General features: G+C 36.9%; 1 protein-coding gene across 10 annotated transcripts in view; it reads right to left on the bottom strand.

The window, feature by feature from the left end:
- Positions 1 to 26,141, bottom strand: part of MAP3K5 (mitogen-activated protein kinase kinase kinase 5) — a 236,046-nt gene that overhangs the window by 91,393 nt on the left and 118,512 nt on the right. For 7 of the 10 annotated variants that reach the window (NM_001438058.1, XM_017010872.2, NM_001438579.1 and 4 more), the window contains 4 exons: positions 20,845 to 20,957; positions 10,781 to 10,940; positions 7,869 to 8,022; positions 2,546 to 2,653 (listed from right to left, as the gene is read on the bottom strand). In NM_001438058.1, the coding sequence (NP_001424987.1) occupies positions 2,546 to 2,653; positions 7,869 to 8,022; positions 10,781 to 10,940; positions 20,845 to 20,957 (535 nt within the window). The remainder of the gene's footprint in view (positions 1 to 2,545; positions 2,654 to 7,868; positions 8,023 to 10,780; positions 10,941 to 20,844; positions 20,958 to 26,141) is intronic. The other 3 variants (XM_017010875.2, XM_047418784.1, XM_047418787.1) reach the window with 1 other exon arrangement.

Below are 26,141 nucleotides of genomic sequence, written 5' to 3' on the forward strand. Positions count from 1 at the left end.
CACAGTTCTGAAAGATGCTGCTCGGTATTGCTCAGTGCTACTAGATGGACTTGGTGTTGAGAGCATGAGAATGGATGTTTTTCTCCATGCTTATTATGTAATTTCATGTTGCCAACATTTAGTGTGCCTGCTAAAATACTAAGTTACAAGACTTAACGTGACCAACTTTATCTAAACATAGAACAAATTAAAATATAAATAACATGCATTCTGGGTGCTGCTTAGTATCTATTCATTTTAAACACAAGATACTGCCCTTCCTAGAAACTATAGCACCGGGACTGGTGATTTCTTGCCACTCTGGTAGAGGTCACAGGGCCTGGCCATGATTGACATCCAGGAAGGATCTGTCCCAGCTGATTTGGACACATCAAAGCACGGGACATTCTTCTTGCTAGATTATGGACATGCTGTGTTGTTTTCCTGTTGAACTTCCTAAGGTGGTGGTTCACATACGTGAGGTCTGAAAGTCTACCTCATAGAATTGTCCTCAGTAGGTCTGACATGCAGATTAGGAATCTGCAATTTATTTTATTTTATTTATTTTTTGAGATAGAGTCTTGCTCTGTCGCCCAGGCTGGAGTGCAGTGGCACAATTTTGGCTCACTGCAACCTCTGCCTCCCGGGTTCCAGCAATTCTCCTGCCTCAGCCTCCTGAGTAGTGGGGATTACAGGCAAGTGCCACCACGCCCGGCTAATTTTTGTATTTTTAGTAGAGATGGGGTTTCACCATGTTGGCCAGGCTGATCTCGAACTCCTGACCTCAAGTGATCCACCCACCTTGGCCTCCCAAAGTGCTGGGATTATAGGCATGAGCCACTGTGCCCAGCTGGAATCTGCCATTTAATTAAACCAGCTCCCTGGGTGACTCTAATGCTGGTGTTCCAGGGAACCACATCTTGAAAAGCAGCATCCCCAGGAACCAGCTTAGCCATAAAGTCAAGGATGTAATAATTCTTGAGCTACTACAATTGAGTAATTACTATGTTTACATCCCTATTAAAGTTGTTATCAACCATGGGTGCACATCAGAATCATGGATAAATCTTCATAAAAATGCATGTGTCCAAGCTTCACTCTAAGTATAAAGGATTCCAACTAAGTCGGTCTCCTGGGATCCAGGGTATTGCAGATAATTCTGATGCAGAGCCAGGTTTGTGCCCCAGTTCAACACCAACAACCTCCCAAATGATTACTCCCATGCCATTTAAAGGGCAAAGCAGGGTTAAACTCTGGGGTTTCAAAGTTAGGATTTAGTCCACATAATATGCACACTGCAGTGATTTATAATTGTTTTTGTTGTTACTGTAGTTAAGATATATTGAACATCTATTATATGCCAGGCTCTGTGAAATGCACTCTACCAAATTATTTCATTTAACCTTCACAACAGCCTTTTGAGATGGATATTATTATCTCATTCTACAGATGAGGACACCATAGCTTGGAGAAGCCAAGTTGCCCAAGGGCAGTGGTGGGATTTGAATCCAGGTCTATTGACTCAAGTCTACATGTAAAAAACTGCAAGCCCATACTCCCAAATTTACTTCCTGCTTCCACTTCCTGCTTTATTTTTCCCTTCTCACCATTGAATATACCTATACATTTATTTATTGCTTTATTGCCCTATCTGAGTGGAAAGCAAGCACCATGGAGGCAGGAACTTCACTCATTTTGGACACAGCTGTTTCCCTAGGGTCTAACACCGTGTCTGGTAGTGCCTGATCCAGAGTAAGTGCTCAATAAACATTTATTAAATGAGTAAGTTGATGAATGATGGTTAAATAAAATTATAAGGGCATTCTGGGAAACAGTTACGAGAAAGAAAATAAATGAACTATTTTTCCACAAGACTTCTCTCATTTCTGTTGGTTTATCCTGTGGACTGAAGCCAGGTCCTGAAAATGTCTGTTTGTAAAAAATAGTAGGATGATTTGCACATGCATTAAAACTGATGAATATAGAAGTGGAAAGGCTTATCCACATGACTGCTATGAGCGGAAGTGAGACTGTTTTAAGATCTTTCTCAAAATAGGTGGTCGCACAGCCCACCTCACTTTGTGCACAGCACACTGAGTCAGTGGCTAATCTGAGATTTGGCAACTACTTAGATAACAAAACAGCTAGATGTAATGATAACTATAATGGTACCAGTGTAAGATTAAAAGTGGCATCATTCTGACAGGCTTCCTAAAATTAACATATGCATCTTTTATGTCACGTATTTTAAGTATTAGTTCTTCGGTGCATAACTTACGGCATGAATTTACAAAAGAGAAATATTCCAATTCTGAGTATGCTTTGGATGGTTATGCCATCTATAATAAAAATCCAAATAGTTCAATTATATTTTATTAATACTGATAAAAATTCATAATTCAAATTTAACAAGTTTTATAATACGGAATGCATTTATGCCAAGACAGACACACAGCTGAGCTATTTCTTCTTAACTAACACAGACATTTGCTGGAGTATGTAAATGCTAGAAGGGTGTAAAGTCCCTTGTTACTAATGCTCTTGTGTTAATAACTGCACAATTTACCTTGTCATCAGGAAGCACGTGCCAAATAGAGATTGTCTTTTCCTCAACTTCATTGTTGATAGACAAATAAGAAGGTTGATAGATTTTGGTTGGTTCTAATATTAATACCTTGAAAAGATACGGCAAAGAAACTAATATCAGTGACTTAAGACTGAAACCACTTAGAGCTGCTATAACACCCCAGCACCAACGTAGAGGATTATTGCATGAGCTTCTGAATCTGTTCCTGGAGTAAACCATTTCAACTTCTGATTGCTGTTATTCCTATAAATCCTTCAAGCATTTTACATTATTTATCAATTATCATAAGGTTCAATAATGCATCACCTTGTATTGCTAATAAGGTTAGAAATAAATTTTTGAAGTCCATACATGGGTTCAGCTATCCTCAGGGAATCTACTAGTGATAACTTTAAAAAATCTTCTATTTTATCATGTACTACATAAGCTATTTCTATAAATATAAATGTGTCAAAGAAAGACAGAAAAGGTCCATACATAGAATGTCACATCCTTATTTTAGTTTTTCTGCTATCACACTTTATCATACAGATGTAGTAGTATGGTTTTCATACCCATGTAAATAAACTTAGAAATGGTTTTGGTTATTCCTGAGTTTTATATACAAACCAAAGAAACAAACTTAGCTATATGAAATAATAAACACGTTTTTGCACTGCCTTCCAGATGAAACTGGCGTCTTCAATAATGATACATTTAGCCTTGTAAGAGAAAAAGAGAAATAAAATTTGTTCCTATTTTGAAGCTCTATAAGGGGTATGTGATAAATGAGTTGAGAATCTCCATCAAAGGACAGCATGAAGTATTATATTATTACTAATATCTCACATTTGGAGTGAATAATACTAAAATAACACACATGCCCTGATTTCAAAGGTGCTATGATTCATTATCTACTTGTATAGATGCTTAAAGGCATCTTCCTGGCCCAAATTTCCTAGGCAGACTTCACTAGGAATGTTTAAAAAAAGAAAAGTCAATACTTAACTATTAGAGGAACTGGAATAATCATTCTACTCTACTGCTTAACACTCAAGAAAATTATCTTTAGAACTAATCTTGAATCAAGCAAGTTTTCCAAATAAAAGTGGAGGAAAACTCCTTCAGAAGGCTCCACCCATAAGGAATTACAGATTCATAATACAGTAAAACATGAAATGCACTCTCAGAAAGCAGGCACAAGAATCTGGGCATATTTGTTTTACTCTCAACTTACCTTAACAGCGCATTTACTTAAGGTACAGGGAACTAGAGAAAGGGAGGTAGAAAAAAACAATTTTTCTTTACTCTTTGAATATTAAAAACGTTAAGGGCTCCAAGAATTCTCAGTCAGTCTCTAGCTGTGAAAATAAGATGGGCTATGCAACAAATAAACACACAGTGAGAGCCCATAAGTGAACATATTCTGACTCAGGAACAAACTCACCCAGTGAATCAAAATCTTAATTCCAATCAACAGAGACATAAGCGGTAATGATGAATAATGAAAATCATTTTCCCATCTAAACTTTGCAGAAATGGTGCTCTCATATCTGAGTATCGCAATGTATATGAAATCAAAACAATAGAGAATAAAAGGTGGGTTTCCCAAAACATCATCCAACTCTCTTCATTGACAAGTGAGAATATACTCCATTCCCAAATTATGTGGGCACACTATTATACTCAACAGAAGAAAAGAAAAGCACTAACTCCTCTCTTGTTAAATTATGTCTTTATTGTCATCTCAGTATTTCTAACAGATAAAATCTGAACTATGTGTCCCTAACTTGAGACAGGAAATAAAAACAAGGTTGTAACTATCACTGTCTAATATTTGTTGAGCTCTTTGCTCTATCCTTGAAATGACAAAATGTGAGAAATGCATAGCACACATTACAGAGGTCACAGAAAGGCTGGGAAACAGACCAGGGAATGGAGGCAATTTGACAAAGTCTTAAAGGTAGATATACCTCACTTATGAGTTTATATATTCTTGCTTTTAGTTCCTTGTTTTTAGGTTAATATTATAATTAACTGCTAATTTCATGTATCTGAATCAAAAAGGAAGACTGCAAGGCCTATAAAGGATAGATATTAACCAGATGTTTAAGTTTCTACAGGGTCTTTGAAGTACCATACGTCTCTCCTTCCTCTTTCCCGACGTTAGATAATGAGTTGATGGTCTCCAAACTTTTCAATGTAAGAAGGAAAGGAAATATACCAAGAGGAGAGGTAAGAAAAAAGAATAAATTGAAGTGATAAATGATGGTACCATTCAAATCATTTCCCAAATAAACTTTCAATTTTCTTTTGCCCAGAGTCACAGTTAATTCTTGGAGAAATGAGAATGAATACAGTATTGAGATAAATAAAAACAATCAAATATTTTCTAAAATAGGCCATCCTGGATTTTATTTAGATGCATTTCAAAAGAAGGATAATGTTATCATCCTAATCAACACCTACTGCAACCTTTGTAGTGTGAGCCACGGAAGATGCTATGCTAAGGACATGACAAGGTGCAGCGACCAAGATCGCCCCACAGGTACTAAAAGGCTGCCTTTCTCTATGAGGGAGAGCACGGGTGGCAAATTCCGGAAGTGGTTACAACTTATTACCCAAATATTTGTCCTGTTTTTCTGCTATGCTATCATGTATACTGAGATTTAAAAATCATCTATATGGCTTTCATTATTTTTTAAAGCAGTATCTTTACAGTTTCTGCAACGCTTTATCATACATGTAAATATAAGAAAACAATCAAGCGGTTAATCCTAAAGCAATTTCCATTAAATTTGGAGCTTCTTGGTAGACTGGCATTTTCTAGACACAAATGAAGTCGTTGTAGGAAAACTCAAGAAGGACTACAAAATTGTACAATTTTGTCCTCTGTGTAACAACAAACTATAGAAAAGAAGTTTTGAGTAGCTGAGTTATGAATTCTGATGTAGGAGTAGTATTTAGAGATGAGGGGGAAAACACTGCATTTTAGAGTCTTGTCACAAAAAGACAGACCCCAAATAAGCCACAAAGTTTCAAGAAGGAAATGGATTGCTGAGAAAAATCAAATATGCCAAAAATATGTTGGCAAGATAACACCTATGTGCCTACCACTCGCAGATAACTAAGTGTTAACATGCTGTCATATTTGCTTCGAAATGTTTTCTAAAGAAATGAAATGTGGCAAATAAAGTTGAGGTCCTCAGGATCCCTTACACAATCCTATCATCCCCTTCCCAGATAGAATCCCAGAATATTCAGCAATTCCTATGCCCACCAGCAGGCTCTAAAAATGCTCTTGTCTCCACAATGGTGTCAACTGTTGTAAAATGTTTTAATTCTTTGAGTCCAATGGGCAAAAAAATAGTGTCTCACTTAATTTGCATTTTCTTGACTAACCAGAAGTTAATTATCTCTTCATATAAATTTTTTATTCTTCTTTTTATTTTTATTTTGTTTTATTTATTTATTTATTTAGAGATGGAGTTTTGCTCTTGTTGCCCAGGCTGGACTGCAATGGCATGGTATCGGCTCACCGCAACCTCTGCCTCCCAGGTTCAAGCGATTCTCCTGTCTCAGCCTCCCAAATAGCTGGGATTACAGGTATGCACCACCATGCCTGGCTAATTTTGTATTTTTAGTAGAGACAGGGTTTCTCCATGTTGGTCAGGAAAGTCTCAAACTCCCAACCTCAGGTGATCCGCCCACCTCGGTCTCCCAAAGTGCTGGGATTACAAGTATAAGTCCTCATGCCTGGCCTCTTCTTATTTTATTTTGCTTATCACTTTATAGGATTTTTTTGCATATTTGGCAAATTGACAATTTTGCACAGTTTTATAAAACATTTTCTCCCTGCCTAGCAGTTCCTATTTGGCATGTTCATGGTGTTTTTTTTTAATCAAACAAAAATATCCATTTTTTAGTGAAATCAAGTTGGTGAATATTTTCCTTTAGGTCTTATAAGTCCTTTTCTTGCTTAAGGATGCCTCTCTCAACTGGTGTTTATACCTATATTCTCCTAACTTCTCAATATTTTCTGGTTTATTTTTTACATTCACTTATTTATATTTATGACAGACAAATTCTGTCAAATATTTTTTATATTCACTTATATTTATAGTATGACAGACAAATTCATATGATACTAATCTAAACGGGCTCAAAGTGACGAATTTGAATGGTTTCCTTTCATAGCCAGTTTTCTAGTCAATCAAGTCAATAGTCAATTAAATACCTGAATTCTATGTTCTCTTCTTTCACTACATTTACTGCTACTGAGAGCACCAGCTACAGGCAAGCTGCCAGCTCATTCTAAGGTAAGTATTTTCCTAGGCTACACATTATCTAGGCTAGAAAATAAAGTGAAGTGTTTCAGTTAGAAAGGCTTTCGCTTAAGGACCCTGCTGAGCTCAAGGCTTCATCTGGAAGCAAGAGTAAAGCATGCTCATGTCAGCAATGGATTTAATTAAGTGAAGTAGATGATCCTATCAACAAGAACTAGAAAACAAGATTTCACAAAAAGAATTGAGAACTGTCACCGCCTCTAAGTATGGAAGATAGAGATTAGAGAGCTCAGAGAGATTTATGGCATCACTTTGATGTGGAAAGAAATTTGTACATACAGGGAGTTGCCAGTAATTCTTGAATTGGATGCTGGACGATATTAAGAACCATCCAGAGGGGCATGGCACCATCTGAGAAGAGCAATAAATTTTTTTAAAGTGTGTGTGTGTGTGTGTGTGTGTGTGTGTATTATACATTTAAATCTATATGTCTGAAGTCCACTAGAGACCAGCAAAAATGAGCTGCAGACCAGAAACTGCAAGTCATTTCCCATGGTCTAAAACATTGTAAATAGTGATTGGGGATATTACATCTAACTCTGACCCACCTGGGTAATGGGTGGTGGGGATGGGATAACAATGCAGGTAAGCCTGATACTTTTCACCACAATACGGGAGATAATACTGAAGACTGTGTCAACGTGACTGCAGTATTAAGGAAAAGCATACATCGGGCTGGCATGAAGCTAAGCCAAGAGACAGTCTTTGCATTGCTTAGGAAGTACACTCCACCACTTATCAAAAGGAACCACCCAAATTCCATGGCAAAAACATAAAAATAGATCTCATTTCTCTGATTTTGAGAAGTTATTTTTAAAAGTAAGCTAAAGCAAACCAATGTGCAGGAAATAAAGATATTAACCAGATGACTGCAGTTTTAAGGCACCAAAAATCAGCCCCCAAGCACTGATACAATCACAGTACAAGATGTTCTTTAAATAAAGAAATGTACTTAGATTTAAAGGAAGAGTACTCACTGGAAACCTAACCACAGTAACATCTGTCTTTGTGGCCTCGACCAGGAAATCCATCCAAAAGTCCACAAGTTCTTGCTTGGCCACAGGCTGTTCTGTGGTCAGTTTCACAAAATGCTTATATATTAAAATTGTCTCTACAATAGACTTGAGGTACCTGAGAAGGAAAAGATATAAAACATGTAACAGACAAATTTAGAACCACCTGTTCCCATGTATCCCAGTCTAATTCTGTAAATGTAATTTATACATGACATTAATAGTTATGCATTCAGATTCACCGTTATTCGTTATTTGTTGCATATCGTGTGTTTTCACACTTTTTTTTTTTTTAATGTTGAAACAGAGTCTCGCTCTGTCGCCCAGGCTGGAGTGCAGTGGTGTAATCTCGGCTCACTGCAAGCTCCGCCTGCCGGGTTCATGCCATTCTGCCTCAGCCTCCTGAGTAGCTGGGATCACAGGCATGCACCACCACGCCTGGCTACGTTTTGCAATTTTAGTAGAGATGGAGTTTCACCATGTTGGCCAGGCTGGTCTCGAACTCCTGACCTCAAGTGATCCACCTGCCTCGGCCTCCCAACGTGCTGGGATTGCAGGTGTGAGCCACCACGCCCAGCCGTGCTTTCACACATTATCTCATTTCTATCTCACAAAAACTCAATAACGTTGGTTATTTTATCCCTATTTTAGAGAGGAGGAAACAGGCTTAGAGGGCTTGGTAACTTGGACTAGGGCCATACATCTAGTTAAAACTTGAACTTTAAAATGTGTATATTCTATTCAAGGAAGCGGTTAATGCATTTGTTTTTAATTATGCTTCTTTGAGGAAGCTTTCCTAAATAGACACTTCATAAGAGATCATTATTTAGCTCTGAAGCAACTCAGCTTATATATTATACAAATACCCTCAAACCTAATAAGACAGATGGTGCCTCAAAAGAAAAAGTTAGGAAAAATGAGGAGTGGGATAATTATAGGTGATAATGGCTATGCAGGCGCTTTATGGACTATAAACATGGAAGTTAACATTCCATAAAAATTAAGTTAGTGGAACCTTAAGGCACTGTTTTGTGGCTGCGAGTACCATTGCATAGAATAGTGCCTGTTTTCTTGTTAAAAAACCAGGATGCCTAAAATACTGCCATCAGAATGGTCACTGTAAAGAAATAGCAAATGTGACTCAATATCATGCGTGCATCTATTGGTTCCTTTATTTCATATCATTTGCTGAATGCCTACTGCTGCACACAGTGCTGTGGGGATAAATATCAAAAGGTATTATAACACCAAGAATAAATATCCATGGAGATATGACTAAACAGAGAGACAACTTAAAAAGCTATACACTCAGTATCAAGAGAAGCATAACTAAAGAATGACAGAAACACTAAAGAAGGGACTTGGGTGTGAGGAAGGGCTCTAGGTCAAGGTCGGCTTTGTGAGCTGGTGTGATGGATGAGTGTTCCTCGGAGAATGTGTGCATTCTGAGAGGCATGCTCAGCACGTGCTCAGACACTCATGCATGAAACCAGCAGTGTGGTATGAAGAGACAGCAGTGTAAACCCAGGAGTGTGACAAGAGCCGAGGCTGGAATGGCTAAAGGCAAATCTTGTTTGCTAAGACAAAATGATGGACTTTATTCCTTAGGCTGTGAGGAACAATTAAACTATATTGATTTAAGGATTTCAGTGCAGGAGAAGTGTCAGGTGTGCACTTTTGAAAGATCACTGTGATCTTTAGAAAGATCCCTGGGGAGGATTGGCTAAAGGAGACCTGAACATGAGGAAAATTCTTTAAACAGCCATGAGGGCCTAACATGGTGGTCTCTTCCTCACACGGTTTCTGTGATGAAAACAGCCGAGTCGGTGGCCTGGGCTCTGAGCGGCTCTGGAAACAGGCTTCCACTATATCATGGTTAGCCTTTTAAAATCTTTATAGCTAATGGTTAATCGCTACATGTGATGCTAATAAAAATTCTTTTTCTTTTTCTTTTCTTTCTTTCTTTCTTTCTTTTTTTTTTTTTTTTTTTGAGACAGAGTCTTGCCCTGTCACCCAGGTTGAAATGCAGTGGCGCAATCTTGGCTCACTGCAACCTCCGCCTCCTGGGTTCAAGTGATTCTCCTGCCTCAGCCTCCCAAGTAGCTGGGATTACAGGCACCCGCGATCATGCCCAGCTAATTTTTGTAGTTTTAGTAGAGATGGGGTTTCACCCGGTTGTCCAGGCTGATCTCAAACTCCTAACCTCAAGTGATCTGTCCACCTCAGCCTCCCAAGTGCTGGGATTACAGGTGTGAGCCACCGTGCGCCCGGCCAACACTGTTTTTCAATATGGTCCTGAATGCAGATGGAATTTTGTTTCCACCTCTCCAATTACCACAAAAATAATGATGAGATTTGGGTGCACTCCAAGAACAATTTCAAATTAGAAAAACACACAAATATAAGAAACACTCAAATGTGTCATCAGTCAAATCCTAAGTAAGAAGAAAACAAAATCAAGAATGAGAATTCCAAAACTGAGATTAGATCACAGAGGAAACAAAGGGCATATGTTTGGAGTAGAGGTCTAACAGCTGCAATGGAAATGTGGTCTCAGGCCCCGAACATAAGTTATATTTGCAGGTGCAAAATGCATGGCCTCTGCATGATTCACATGGGTGACACTGGCCAATCTGGGCCAGTGGGTTGGTCAATGTGCAGGAGAGGCTAAGTCAGGAACCTGCTGACATCACCTATGTCCAAAGTCATCAGAATTGATGTGTAACACGTTTTATGAATATCACAATTTTCCTCTATATTCTGCATTTTATTTTATAAGCAAATAAAATCATCTAATTGTCAGTTCAATAAATATAATATGGGAACAATATGGAGCTGTTTATTAATTGTATCAACATATAATAGCTAATTATTACCATGCTGGTGTCTTCAGTTTAAAAAGCTTTTCAGATGCTTGAATGACTCTCATGTGGTCATTGGCTAGGACGCTGGCCCCCAGAAAAAATCCAACTTCCCAGTAGCTCTGGAGTTTTTCCAAGTTTCCCTTTTTACCAAGAAGACTACTTAGCTTCACCCCTAGAATACAAACAGGAAGTAGAATGTTACAAATGCACCCCACACAGGTAGAACCAGGTTTTCACTAAAAAGTAAAATTAAGCTTTCATTCCTCTTTTCAGATTAAAACAGCTTTGTTAAGTTTCTGATTATTAAGGTGGCTTCAGTTCACTGTAAAAATAAGTCATAAAAAGGAATGGAACACTGATACATACCATAGATGAACTTGGAAAACATGCTAAATTAAATAAGCCAGACCCAAAAAGACAAAGGTTGAGTGATTCCACTTACAAGAGGTACCTGTAACAGTCAAATTCCTAAACGTGGAAAGCAGAATAGAGGTTACTAGGGACTGGGGGAAGAAGGGAATGAGGACTGATAGTTTAACGTGTACAGAGTTTTAATTTGGAAGATAAAAAAGTTCGGGAGGTGAATAGTGGTGTTGGCTGCGTAACAGTGCGAATGTTCTTAATGCCACTGAAGCGTGCACTTCAAATGGAAATTTTTGTTACGTACATTTTATCACAATAAAAACTTTGGTAAAAAAACAATAGTAAGTCAGACTAACCAGAAAGGTACACAGAAGAAAGTGAAAATTAACCTTTAATTTGAAAACCCAAGGATAACTGCTATGGTCACTTTAATGTACATAAATCTACAATTTTTATATATGTCAGTATATGCATAAATTAAAAGGTCATAATACAAACATTGTTATGTAACCTTCTTCTTTGTCTTTTTACAACATGGATTCTTAAATAACTTAAAAGGAAAATCTTACCTTTTTTACGCTGAAATTCTATCAGTTGAAGTATAAATGCATACAGTATATATATTTCGCAAGAATAAAATGCTATAATAACTTTAGACACAAAAATTATACACTTAAAACATTAAAGAAATAAGGAAATATGCCTGACACGGTGGCTCACACCTGTAACCCCAGCACTTCGGAGGGCCGAGGTGGGAGGATTGCTTGAACTCAGAAGTACTAGACTGGCCTGGGCAACATAGCAAGATTCTGTCTCATGAAAAAAAATTTAAAATCTAAAAAAAAGAAAAAACAGAAAAAAAAAGGAACTAGACTGACAGATAATACTGTCTTGTTATGTCACTGTCTTAAAAGTCCTGAAATCCGGTAATGTAGATACTCCAACTTTGTTCTTTTTCAACACTGTTTTGGCACTTCTATGTTCTTAATGTTTCATTATATATTTTCAATTCTACTATGTCTTGTATTATTTTTGCATTTTATAAGTATTTGTTTGCTTAAAAAAATATATCCTTGTAGCATTGTTTGGTGCCACTAACATCCATCACATTAAATTGTTGGGAAAATTATCTGAGATTTAGAAATAAGGCAAAAAGGTAGGATATATCATTTCAATATCATATGGGAAGATAAGGCCACTCAAGGACTATCTCAGGAAAGTGACGCTAGTTCATCTCATTATGTACTACTTATTAAAGGTCCCAGACTTACAGAAGTTTACTTGTTAACTTGCAGATTTTTGTCCAGTAGAGATGCAAATTTCTGTAGAGTGGAATGGATAAATCCCTAAGATTTATGGCCTGTGGACACAAAACAGCTTTTTTTTTTTTCCTTAATCAAACTCAGATATCTTATCTTAACATTTCTTTGTTGTCTATGAATAGAAATGTTTTTTGAACTGGACATTCCATCTTACTAGTTTCCATATTAGTTGAGTTAAATAAAATATTTTCTATGTGTCTATTTTATATTTGCTGAGGGTCATGATTTTATATGTGTCCATTTTATATTTGATGAGAGTCATGATTTTAGCTTTTTGAAAATTATCTGTGAAAGAAACAAAATAACATTTAAAATTTTTCATGTTACTTTTTATCGTATAATTCCACTCAAACCACAAGTATTTCAGGAAAATGTCCATTTGGGAATTCTTCACATTTTGTGAGGGTAAAGAGAGAACAGCTTTGCCACTGCTGTTTCACGAGATGAAAAAAAAATATTACACACGCATAGGACAACATCCACGGTCTTCTATCTGGATATAATTTTGTTGTTGTTGTTTTTGAGACAAGGTCTCACTCTGTCGCCCAGGCTGGAGTGCAGTGGCACGATCACTGCTCAATGCAGCCTTGAATTTCTGGGCTCAAGTGATCCTTCCACCTCAGCCTCCCAGGTAGCTGGGAGTACAGGCATGAGCCACCACACCTAGCTAAATTTTGTTTTTTTTTCCTGGAAAAACAAGGTTTCGCCATGTTGCCCAGCCGAACTCCTGGGCTCAAGTGATCCTCCTGCCTTAGACCTGCTAGCTGAGATAACAGATGCTACCACAACTGGCTAATTAAATTTCTTTGTAGTTTCTACTTTTTATTTTTTTGTAGAGACGGTCTCATTCTGTGGGCCAGGCTCATCTCGAACTCCTGGGCTCAAGCAGTCCTCTCGCCTTGGCCTCCCAAAGTTCTGGGATTACAGGCATGAACCACCATACCTGACCCAATAATAGTTTTAAAATAAAATTTCAGATGCACTCTTGAACCTCAGAAGTTCATTTTGTGGTGGTGATATTTGGTTTTGGCCTTGCCATACATTTATCACATGATTGTGACACCCAGCCAGCATTTGGATAAAATGTATATTTTTGATGTCAATTAGTATTTTAGCATATGGATGTATCATAATTTATTTACCCAAATGCAGATGGGTGGCCATTTTTATTACTCTAAACATTCTTGTACACACAGCTTTGTGTATTTGCTCAATTATTTCTTTATAATACAGTTCTAAACGTGGATTTGTTAGGGACAGAAGACATGCCCATTTTTAGTGTTGATGCATTTTTGCCAAATTGCCCTTAGAAAATGCTGTACCAATTTATACTTTCACTGGAGGCATCTGACAATAAGGTCTTACCCACACCCTTCCCAGTGAGGGGGACTATCACGTGCATTCATCTTTACCAATATGACAGAGGAAAAAAAGGAACATTGTCTTTTTTAACCGCTGAGATTGGCTCTCTTTTCATGTTTGTATTTCTTTTGTGAATGAGCATTTATGCTCTTTGCACAAACTTGTTTCTACATGAAGACATTAATCTTTTAAGTATGGAGTTAAGAACATGGCTCTAATTTTTTATATTTAGAAGTCCGTTCTCTCTGTCTCTTCCTTTCTCTCTCTCCCTCTCTCTCTTCCTTTCTCTCCCTCTCTCTCTTCCTTTCTCTCTCTCTCTTCCTCTCTCTTTCTCTCTCACACCCACACAGAATATAGAAATAAACATCTTAGTGCATCAAATTTGTTTTGTATTTAGGATTTTTTCCATAGGATAGAATTTCAGGAGTACTGTTATACTTGGTTCCAGACTAAAATATTTTTAGGCTCTTCATCCATACAGAAAAATTAATAAAGCACAATTCGTGATGTTCAGTTGTACCTTTTTAACCAAGTCCTTCCAGATCAATATTTTTCTCTATTTAAAAATATTTTGGTTGAATTTTTAAGCAATGAGCAGTATGTCATTGCTGTGTTAACAACCACTTCACCATTTATTTGATTCAGTTGCATATTTATGCAATTTAAATGCTGACAATGCTGTCATTAAAATTGGTTGACTTACACTGAGGATTTTTTAATCATTTACTTTTTGTCATAGTCTTATCACCTTGCAGCTGTTATTATGTTCAAGGCTGTTTTAGTGGAAAATGGCAGACTTTACTGAATACTCAGATGCCTAGCACTGTGTGTACTGAAAATGTTAACTCTCTCAATCCATACACCACCACGATGAGTTAGAGATTATCTCCCTTTTGTAGTAAGGAAAAATAAAGCCCAGAGAGGATTGCAACATGTCTAAAGCCATACACCTTATAAGTGGTGGAGGTTAGATCCTTTTTAATTTTCCATCATGAAGAATCTCAAACATACATCAAAATAAAACTACAATGAATGACCATATTTTCAACAATCGTTAACATTTTGCTATTGCTTCATCTCCCTGAATATTTCTGCTGAACCATTTCAAATTAAATTACAGACATCATGACATTCCGCTCTGAAATATTACAGCATATACCTAAAATATCTTCCTATATATTCTATTCCATTATTGCACCTAACAAAAACAATTCACTGATATTATCTATCATCTAGTCCTGATTCAGATTCTTGGATTGACTCCCAAATGTCTCTTATAGTTTTTTTTTCCAAACCAGAATCCAATCAAGGAACATTAATTGCATTTAGTTTTTATGTCTCTAAATTTCTCACTTTTTTTTTTTTTTTTTTTTGGAGAAAGAATCTCACTCTATTGCCCAGGCTGGAGTGCAGTGGCATGATCTCTGCTCACTGCAACCTCCACCTCCCAGGTTCAAGCGATTCTCCTGTCTCAGTCTCCCAAGTAGCTGGAATTACAGGTGTGAACCACCACGCCCGGCTAATTTTTGTATTTTTTTTAGTAGAGATGGGGTTTCATCATGTTGGGCAGGCTGATCTCTAACTCCTGACCTCAAGTGAGGCCCACCTTGGCCTCCCAAAGTGCTGGGATTACAGGCATGAGCCACCATGTCCGGCCTCAATCTCTTTTAATCTAATCAATCCCTCTACACATTTTTTTTATGACCCTGACTTTTCGAAAAGACAAGGAGTGCCATGGTGCAGGGTCCTCAATCCCAGGGCCATGGACAGTTACTGGTCTGTGACCTGTTAGGAATGGGGCCACACACGGGAGGTGAGTAGCAGGCAAGTGAGCAAAAAGCTTCTTCATCTGTATTTACAGCCATTCCCCATTGCTCTTATTACTGCCTGAGCTCTGCCTCCTGTCAGATCAGCAACAGCATTAGATTCTCATAGGAGCGTGAACACTATTGTGAACTGCGCGTGCAAGGGATGTAGGTTGTGCGCTCCTTATGAGAACCTAATGCCTGATGATCTGTCACTGTCTCCCATCCCCCCAGATGGGACCATCTAGTTGCAGGGAAACAAGCTCAGGGCTCCCACTGATTCTACATTATGGAGAGTTGTATAATTATTTCATTATATATTACAATGCAATAGAAATAAAGTGCACAATAAATGTAATGTGCCTGAATCATCCCTGAACCACCCCCCACCCCTGGTCCATGGAAAAATTGTCTTCCACAAAACCAGTCCCTATTGCTAAAAAGGTTGGGGACTGCTGCTCTAGTGTGCTCACCTTCTGATCTGTCTGATGTAACTTCTTGGGATTATTTGACTTATTTCTCTAGAGCTTGTGATTCCTATTAAGAGAACTTTAGATCTTAAGATTCAAGTTAAACATTTTTGGTGACAATATTTCACAAGAGTTGCTGTACACTCGGCCGGATGTGGTGGCTCATGCCAGGTGGGCAGATCACTTGAGGCCAGGAGTTCAAGACCAGCTTGGCCAACATGGCAAAATCCTGTCTCTACTAAAACTACAAAAATTAGTTGGGCATGGTGGCACGCACCTGTAATCCCAGCTACTTAGAAGGCTGCAGCATGAGAATCGCTTGAACCTGGGAGGTGGAGGTTGCAGTGAGCCAAGATCGCACCACTGCACTCCAGACCTGGGTGACAAGAGTGAGACTCTATCTCAAAAAATAAAAGTTAAAAAATCAAAAAGAAGAGCTGCTGTACACTTCACAGTTATCATAATAAAGTCCTAAGGGCACATGTCTCGCCACCCTATTATTAGTGATACAAGGATGGATCACTGACAGCTGGGTCTTCCCATTCTACAGGTACATTTGTTCCTTTGTGACTAACAAGTTATCTATGAGTTAGCTTTGGTATCATGTAAAAGGGGTAAAATGTAAATTTTTTTTAAATAAGCATTTCAATTTAATACTTTTAGTTCAAATTGATGATCCTTGCCAGAATCAATTATTTCAACATCACTCTCATTATCAGCTTTATCATTACTTTATTAACTATAATAGTGTACTTTTGAAGAATACATTCTCTGGAAGAATAATACATTTACTATGTAGCATAGCTCAAGAAGAGCTGTATTTTTTTTTTTTTTTGAGATGGAGTTTCGCTCTTGTCGCCCAGGCTGGAGTGCAGTGGCACAATCTTGGCTCATTGCAACTTCCGTCTCCTGGGTTCAAGCGATTCTTTTGCCTCAGTCTCCCAAGGAGCTGGAATTACAGAAGCATGCCACCACACCGGGCTAATTTTGTAATTTTAGTAGAGACAGGGATTCACCATGTTCATCAGGCTGGTCTTGAACTCCTGACCTCAGGTAATCCACCCGCCTCCGCCTCCCAAAGTGCTGGGATTACAGGCCTGAGCCACCACGCCCAGCCTAAGAAGTGCTATATTTCATCAACGGGATGAACTACAGTATCTCTGAAAGAGGAAGGAAAAGTACTTACTTCTTTCCTTATAACTTCTAATTTTCGGAAAAGTTGGTCACTTCCATAGGTGACAAAGGAGTTTTTCAGTGGTTGGTGATAGATTTTGTTCTGATGACTTTTCCTTGATTATCTCTATTGATTCATGGATTTTTATGTACAGTAATATATATTTTCTATTCAATATTTTTTAATGCTCACTGAAAATGATATTTAAATAGTGGTTGTCTAAGTTCCAAACATAGTGTTCTTTTACTGTATCATCATTACTGTTGGAGACTCAAACCTCTAAGTCTGACTCTCACCCATAAAATGTCTCACAATTGGAAAATTCCACAGAAGATGGAAGCATCATCTTGTTATTTAGCTAAAGTTTGAATATTATTTTTAAGGCTTGCAAAGGTGAAAACAGGAAGAAGATGTAGGATATGGCTCTGTGTTTTTAAATCCTAGCTCTAAATAGCCTAAGCATCAGTGATTCTTCAAAAACTGGAAAAGTAAAACACAGATCCATGAAGCAATTAGTCATAACCGCAAACAAACACACAACTAGAATTAAGAGTCTTTGGGCAACACAGCATGACAGTTAAGAATCATTTCTTACATTTGAGATCTTAAGATAATACATTTAGGGAGCTTCAGATTGAGTGCTCATCTTAATTGTTTACCCTTTATAAATAAATCAAAATTTCAAAAAGCATCTTAAAGAAGGGACTTCATAAGTAAATGTCTGGTTATTATAAGAACTCGGTAATTCGGAATAATTTGTATGTTTGCAGAGGCCAACAGGAGGAATGGGAGGTATAAATTACTGGAAAAGCTGATTGGAGCATTTAAAGAAAGAATGAAACTAGGTGTATCTTTAAAATATGCCAAGTATATTGTCTCATTTTTATTATATACTATCAATTAACATCATTATTATATTAAACTATTAATTTATTTAACCAACTTGTCTTTCCTCGAAAATCCATTTAATCCTCTTACCATATAAAAATTAACTTTAGATCAATCTATGTTGATTAGCATAATTTACAATTGAATAGAATCTAAGTTAGTGAGTTTTAACTATGTTTTCATTATTGAAGGACAATACAATTTAGAATGCATATCACAGTATTTTAGAAGCCTAAAACAGTTCTCATGATAGCTAAAAATTCACTGATAAGCCATATTTTAAGTCTGTATATGTTATGCAATTTCTAAAATTTTAAACTAACTTTGTATGTTTTCAAATGTTTGTTTAACATGTATTACAAGTGAGTTCTTCCTGAAAAAAATTAACATGTTTCTTTTACATATTAATCACATTTCCTCAAACCTCAGAGTTCTGACCATCTTAATAAGTATTTACCTTCAAAATGAGATTTAGAATAAGTACATTTTCAAACCATTGTCATTGCTTTGCCTACATATGCAAATCACTGTCAATTCCTGCAACAATTTAGAGGCTTCAACAAAACCTCACCTTGAGTTAAGAACAGAACAATAAATATATGACTGTATCAAAATAGAACATATATACTGAAAAATATATATCTATTGCATATCAATAAAAACAATGAAAAAAGCAACAAAGGAGCAATAAAAATATTTTTAGAACACTGATATAGGGATTTTGGCTAGTATAGAGTTTTTAATTTAGTCTTAGACACAAAATTTTATTATAATCATAATTTCTGAACAGCACAAATTGCAATGTACCTTCTCCGATTTCACTGAACCAATCAAAAGAATTATTTCAGGCTGGGCAAGGTGGCTCACACCTGCAATCCTAGCACCTTGGGAGGCCCAGGTGGAAGGATCTCCTGAGCTCAGGAGGTTGAGATTGCAGTGAGCCGTGATCGTGCCAGTGCACTCCAGCTTGGGTGACAGAGTGAGAGCCAACCTTAAAAATAAATAAATAAATAAAATAGCAGAGGTTTTTGAAAAAAGCACTAAGAAAGCACAATCTAAACCAGCCTGGGCAACATGGCAAAACCTCATCTTTACAAAAAATACAAAAAAATTATCCGGGTGTGGTGGTATATGCCTGTAGTCTCAGCTACCCGGGAGGCTGAGGTGGGAGGATCACCTAAGTCTTGGGGGTCGAGGCTGCAGTGAGCTGTGATTGTGCCATTGTGCCCTGAGCAGCAGAGTGAGACCCTGTCTCAGAAGAAAAAAAAAATTATTTCAAACAGACCTTTATGCCTTTAATACCCCTGCTATCCCACAGTAATAAATACTTTATCATTCTTTTAGTCTGGGCATTTAAAAAAATAAACAAATAAATATTCTGACTTTATTTAGCTTCAGAGATTCTCCAGAACATTACATAAAGATACAAGCTCTTCCAAAATAATGTCTTTTTTTTAAAGTCTAGGATTCATTTCTCTTTAAGAAAAGTAACAAGAAATTCGCCAAAGTGGGCCCGGTGCGGTGGCTCACACCTGTAATACCAGTACTTTGGGAGGCTGTGGCAGAACTGCTTGAAGCCAGGAGTTCAAGACCAGCCTGGGCAACATAGTGTGGCCACGTCTTTATAAAAAAAAATTTTTTTAATTAGTCAGCTGTGGTGGTGCACGCCTACAGTCCCAGCTTCTTAGGAGGCCAAAGTGGGAGGATCACTTGAGCTTAAGAATTCAAGGCTGCAGTGAGCTATGATCGCACCACTGCACCCTTGCCTGAGTGACAGAGTGAAACCTGGTTTCCAAAAAAATTTTTCTTTTATTTTGAAGAAAAAGTTTCTTCTACAATTCATAGCTTCACTAAGATGAACGTGTTATTTTTTCCCTATGAAAAACAAGGCTGAATATTTCTATGTCTGTAGTAATTCCTAAAAGAGTTGGAAAGATTCTCTGAAAGGAGGTCGTTAGACACCCAACGGAGCAAAATATGATTCCCATAGACAGGATTCCAGTATCTAGAATCTTTAAAAAATGTGATCAAAGCCAAAACCAAGAAAATCACTTGAAATTTGTTCACTAAGATGCCCTAACTTCTTTAAATTCCCAGGGAAAGGCAGCAGATGAGATAATGTCTACAGATAAAAGGGACAAAAGCACATTCTGTCGATGGCTATGATTCAGAGATGGTCTGAGGAGCCTACTTCCTACCAAGACCACCATTTGCTTAACCTGTTGCTCCTGGGGCTTTGGGAGGCTCTTCCCCCAACACCGGTGAAATCATAGGGAAAGGTGTGCTTGAGAAACAGATAAAGGAAACAGCAGAGGTTTTTGAAAAAAAAGCACCACAAAAGCGCAATCTAAAATAGGAAATATTCCTGATGTCTCACAAAACAGTAACCTTATTTAGGAGTTGGGGGTTGAATGCAGAACCCATATCCTCAATATTAGTTTGAGCTGGAATATTAACCAGGGGGACTTTTAGAAACAGGTAAGATAAATTAAAAACTGAATTATGTCCTAATATCAGGATTCTGTACAACAGTATGAAACACCAAACAAGGAGATATAATAAGTTTCTTTTTTCTCTTTGGGAAGTATGAAAAGACAGAAAGCAAAAGATTTATCTATTCATGATTCTTTTTCTTTGCACCAAGTTGGGTCCAGTTTCTTGATTTCCATGTAAAATATCAAGTTGTAATTACCAACTTTCCGGAGCTCAAAGGAAGATTCAAACTGGTGTCCAGCTGCCAGGAGGAGGACCGCATAATTAATTCCTGACTGTAGTGTTGGCTCAGATTCAAATGCCTTTTTGAACCTATAAAAAACCACAAATGTACAAGTTAACTTTCTCAATCATGAAACCCTGGGTGTGTAATAGCTTCTGTTTGTATAACTCCAATGCCTGAGCAAGTAAAAATATTGCACTGGCCTTCACCCCAGAATCTGGTGTGCTATTAGGACTTAACGCTTCAGAAACTGCTTATCTTTGTCCACAGCTCTGTTGCTTTCCCCCGCTTAGCTCACCCTCAACCTACCTAGTAACCCTAGTCTTTAAAAAAATCCTCTCTTCAACCATCTACCAGAAATATGTGAATGTGAAAATTTAGTTACAAGGGCATTTGTTACAAGATGAAAAATTACTCTAAATATCCAATAATATTATACAGTATGATATGGAATAACATATATTCCAAATGTTAGAAAGCTATGTAGTCATTTATGTTGTAGAAGCATGTTAAAAGTCAGAAGAAAACTAGTGTTTCCAAGTAAAATGTAGTCGTCTACTTGGAAGCCATCATTCAGGGTGTGTGTGTGTGTGTGTGTGTGTGTGTGTGTGTGTACAATAAACATTTAAAAATGAGAACCCCGCACATATTTTTTAAAGTAGTTTTTACAAACTCTTAAAAATATACAGAGCACTGAGGATAGGTAACACACTGAAATGATCAATTCCATAAGAATGATATAAAAATGAAATAAACTGTCAATTATAGGATGAAATTAAGAAAAGCAGAGATGTAGAGTATGTCTCTACATACTAATTTTGGCTCAGAGAGTTATAAAAAGACTTTTCTGAATATGCATAAAACCGAGTATCAACCTTTGAAAATACTTCAATATTTAAAAGGACTTCAGTGTTTGAATATTTACTTTATTTTCAAGGTAATACTTCCTAGGATACTTTTAAGGGTTTCCTCACATGCATCATTAAACGGGCAACGATATTCAATATAATTTCACTTAGGTATATGTAAAACGAGAAAAATAAAATAAATGCCCTAGTGACTAAGAGGAACTGCCTGAGGCCAATGCATGAAAAATGAAACTTTTATTTTTAAAAAAATCATGCTGAAGAAAATATAAGAACTAAATATCTAACAAATGACCATTTGATGACACCAAAAAAAAAGGTTATGTGGGAAGAAATACATTATAATTCCAAGATAAAAGCATTCTCACCTAAGTCATAACTGTGTAAATAAAAGACAGGAATAGTAAACATAGTGATAGGCACAATAGTGTATATTGTAGGCACAATAAATGTATATTCTTGGCTTTTATATATACTCAAAATTTTCCATAATTTAAAATAAATTAAACATCAAATGAAAACAAAAAATATATTTTTCTGAATATTGAGGACCATGTCTCTTTTTTAAATGTCTTGCTCTTTAATTAGAACAAGCATCTCTGAATGGAAGCAAAAATAACTATGAATCTTAACTAGTTGGCTCTGATAGTTATGTACCTATGGAATATGAAAAAAGGTACCACTGCATCACCATAGGTGATTAAAAAGCATTTTTTAATGTTTCCAGAAGTATACATGTTTCCATTCTAAAATGAAAAAAGTATATACACCTAGACTACAGATATTCGAAACTATATCAAGGCAAGTCACAACTTACAGGTCTTAGACTAACATAAGTCTCAAAGTTCTTTGTCTTTGTTCAGAGGCAAGTATAATGTCCCAACAAAAAAGGATTTAGGAGAAGAAAGAAGTAGACACTTCCCTTTCTACCAATTCATATCAAGATACGTAATATTTTTCATTAAATACATTATGGCATTTTCCCTGAAACCAAAGAACATGAAATGTCTCTTAAAGATATGAAAAGGAAGATGCAAAAATGAAGACATATCGAAATGAATCAATAAATATTGGCTGAATATCTCCTATGTGCCAAAACCAACCTAAATGAATATTTGGGTTTATATCTGTTTTTCTGTTACCACAAACAATATATATTTTTGTATTTTAAATGAAAAGATAAACACCAATAAAATTAATAATTCACATTTTTCTTGAGCTCCCCTCAATCCATGAGACTAAATTGAGTACTGTATTGAGGAAAAAGTCTTAATGTTTTCTGGAGATTAAAAGAGCATGTAGGTATATTACGAAAGAAATAAAATCCTGGCATATATCATTAGTATACCACTGCAGGAAGTGGGAATTCTCCCATACTGTAAAAGCAAAGAAGTACAGTATTCTTGGCAGAAATTTGCCAATATCAAAACTATAGAATTTTTGTTTGTTTGTTTCTTTGAGATGGACTTTCACTCTTGTTGCCTAGGCTGGAGCGCAGTGACACGATCTCAGCTCACAGGAACCTCTGCCTCCAGGGGTCAAGCGATTCTCCTGCCTCAGCCTCCCGAGTAGCTCGGATTACAGGCATGCACCACCATGCCCGAATAATTTTTTTGTATTTTTTTTTTTTTTTAGTAGAGATGGGGTTTTGCCATGTGAGTCAGGCTGGTCTCGAACTCCAGACCTCAGGTGATCCGCCCACCTCGGCCTCCCAAAGTGCTGGGATTACAGGTGTAAGCCACTGCACTCGGCCAACTATAGAAATTTTTTAAAACTATGTATAACTCTTAACAATTATACATTTACAAATTTATACCAAGAAAAAACATTAAACATGTAATCAGAAGTTTCATTACAAGGGCATTTGTTACAAGATGAAAAATTACCCTAAATTTCCAATAATACTATAAAGTATAACATGGAATAAAATATTATACAAATGTTGGGAACCTACATAGCCATTTGTATTGTGGACAAATATTAAATGTGAGGGGGAAAGCTTGTGTTTCCAAGTAAGATGTAGTCGTCTACTTGGGAGCCATTACTTCTGCTTCAGTAATTAGGGGGAAATAAGAATACATATCAAAAACACATTTTTGCAGACACTGGAGATCTATGGAAGCAACAAAAAAAATCACTGAAATAAACTCCAAAGAGGGAAGTGGCCTTCCAAGATGAGCTGAATTGCTGTTGTCTTTCATGGGGCATTTGCTGATTCTGACCCTGAGATTAGGCTTGGGCTTGGCATGGGCAGAGAAACTCTGTCTATTTTAAACTTTACCAAGAAAAAGAGAAACTAGTGGATTTCTTGACAATTGCGTGGTTTGGCACGACAGAATGAAACCCGAAGGAGTCCCAAATGTGTTGCTGTTTTCTTCACAGGACATTCGTTGAATGCTGAGTTGTACAGGAGGCTAGGGTGTGGAGTAGAGCTGGGATGACAGAGTGAAATCTCCTGAGTGTTTAGGAGAAAAGTCCCACTAGGGAAAGAAGTCTACAACAACCATAGGAAAAAAGTCTTCCCTTTAAGAAATTTACCACATTTTGGGCTGGGTGCACTGGCTCCCAGCCCTTTGGGAGGACAAGGTAGGCGGATCACTTGAGGTCAGTAGTTCAAGATCAGCCTGGCCAACATGGTGAAATCCTATTTCTACTAAAAATATAAAAATTAGCCAGGCATGGTGGTGTGTGCCCGCAGTCCCAGCTACTCGGGAGGCTGAGGCAGGAGAATCACTTGAACCCCGGAGGTGGAGGTTGCAGTGAGCCAAGATCACACCACTGCCCTCCTCCCTGGGCAACAGAGAAAGACTCTATCTCAAAAAAAAAAAAAAAAGAAAAAGAAAAAGAAAAAAAGCAATCTACCAAATTTTGGAGAATAAAGAGCTAAACACAAAACTCTCAAGGACAGATAAGAAATCTCCGACAGTATTTAAGGGATAAGAAGATAGAAATATGCCTGCCTATCAATTAAAAGTTCAAGAGGGTCACAGCTAAGAAGCAGAGATAAAACAGAAACAGATAAGGTCAATGAAAATGAAAACCCAGACCCAACCCGACTCAACTGCATTTGTTGAAGTAATCAGCTTCTTACCCTATCTGGCTAACAGAGGAAAAGGAGAATCTCTGTGAGTGAAAATAAAATCATCTCCAAGTCTCAATAGTTTTTTAATACAAAATGTCTGGGATACGAGACATGCAAAGAGCCAGCAAGTTGTGACCAATAAACAAAAGCAAACACACACAAAAGCTGACCTACAGATAATTCGGATGCTGGAGTTTATAGACAAGGACTTTAAGATAATTATGACAAATACGGTAAAGAATATAGAGAAAAAGATAAAATGGATAAAAGATATAAACAACTTCAAAAAAGAATCAGCATCAAAGAAATCACATAATCTAGCACCAAAACATACAATACCTGAAAACAATAATTCAATGTATGGGCTTACAAGTTAATTCAACAAAGTGGAAAAACAGTTTTGGTGAACTAAAATGCATGTCAATAGAAGGTATCTAAACTGAAGCAGAGATATAGAAAAAAAAAAAAAAGAAAACACACACACATAAAACAACAAAGCATAAGAAACAGAGGAGACACAGTTAAATGGTCTAACCTATGTATTACTGTAGCCCCAGAAAGAGAAGAAAGAGAATATGGAGCACAAGAAATATGTGAGATATAATGGATAAAAACATTTCAAAACTGATGAAAACATCAACCCACAGATTCAAGAAGCTCAGCAAAACTCAAGCAGGATAAAATAAGATAATTATAGTCTAAATGCCAAAACATGTTACCAAAATCCGAAAACACAGTGGAAAATCTTTTAAAATCAGCCAGAGAAAAAAGATACATTACTTTCAAAGGAGCAATAAAATTGACAGTAGACTTTGCCGTACAAACTATGGAAGCCAGAATACAACGTAGTGACATCTTTAGAGTAATAAAAGAAAAAAAAAAGTCTAAAAAAGATATTTTCAGACAAAAACTGGGAACTAGTTGCCAGCAGATCTGAACTATAAAAAAATACTAAAAGTGCTTCAGACTAAAGGAAAGTGATTTCATTTGGAAGCACTGAACTTCAGAAAGAAAGAGCATCAGAAAGAGTAAATATGTGACTAGATCTAAAATATAAAAATTATTTAAAATCTATTGATTATTTAAACTGCTCCAAGTTTCTTTCCTTGTTCAGGAAGCAGTAAAATACAAAATGTAAGGTAGACTATAAAAGTCGAGGATGCAGGTTGTAATCTCTAGGGAATACTCAAAGAATAATATGAAAACTATTACTAAAGTGCTAATGTAGGAGAAAATGTAATACTAAGTTAATAAAAATAAAGCAAGAATGGAGGACTAAAAGAACAAAAAACATGTAAGACCAATAAAAAATAAATAAGACAAAT

Source organism: Homo sapiens, chromosome 6 (genome assembly GCF_000001405.40).
Source record: "Homo sapiens chromosome 6, GRCh38.p14 Primary Assembly".
In the NCBI taxonomy this organism is placed as follows: Eukaryota; Metazoa; Chordata; class Mammalia; order Primates; family Hominidae; genus Homo; species Homo sapiens.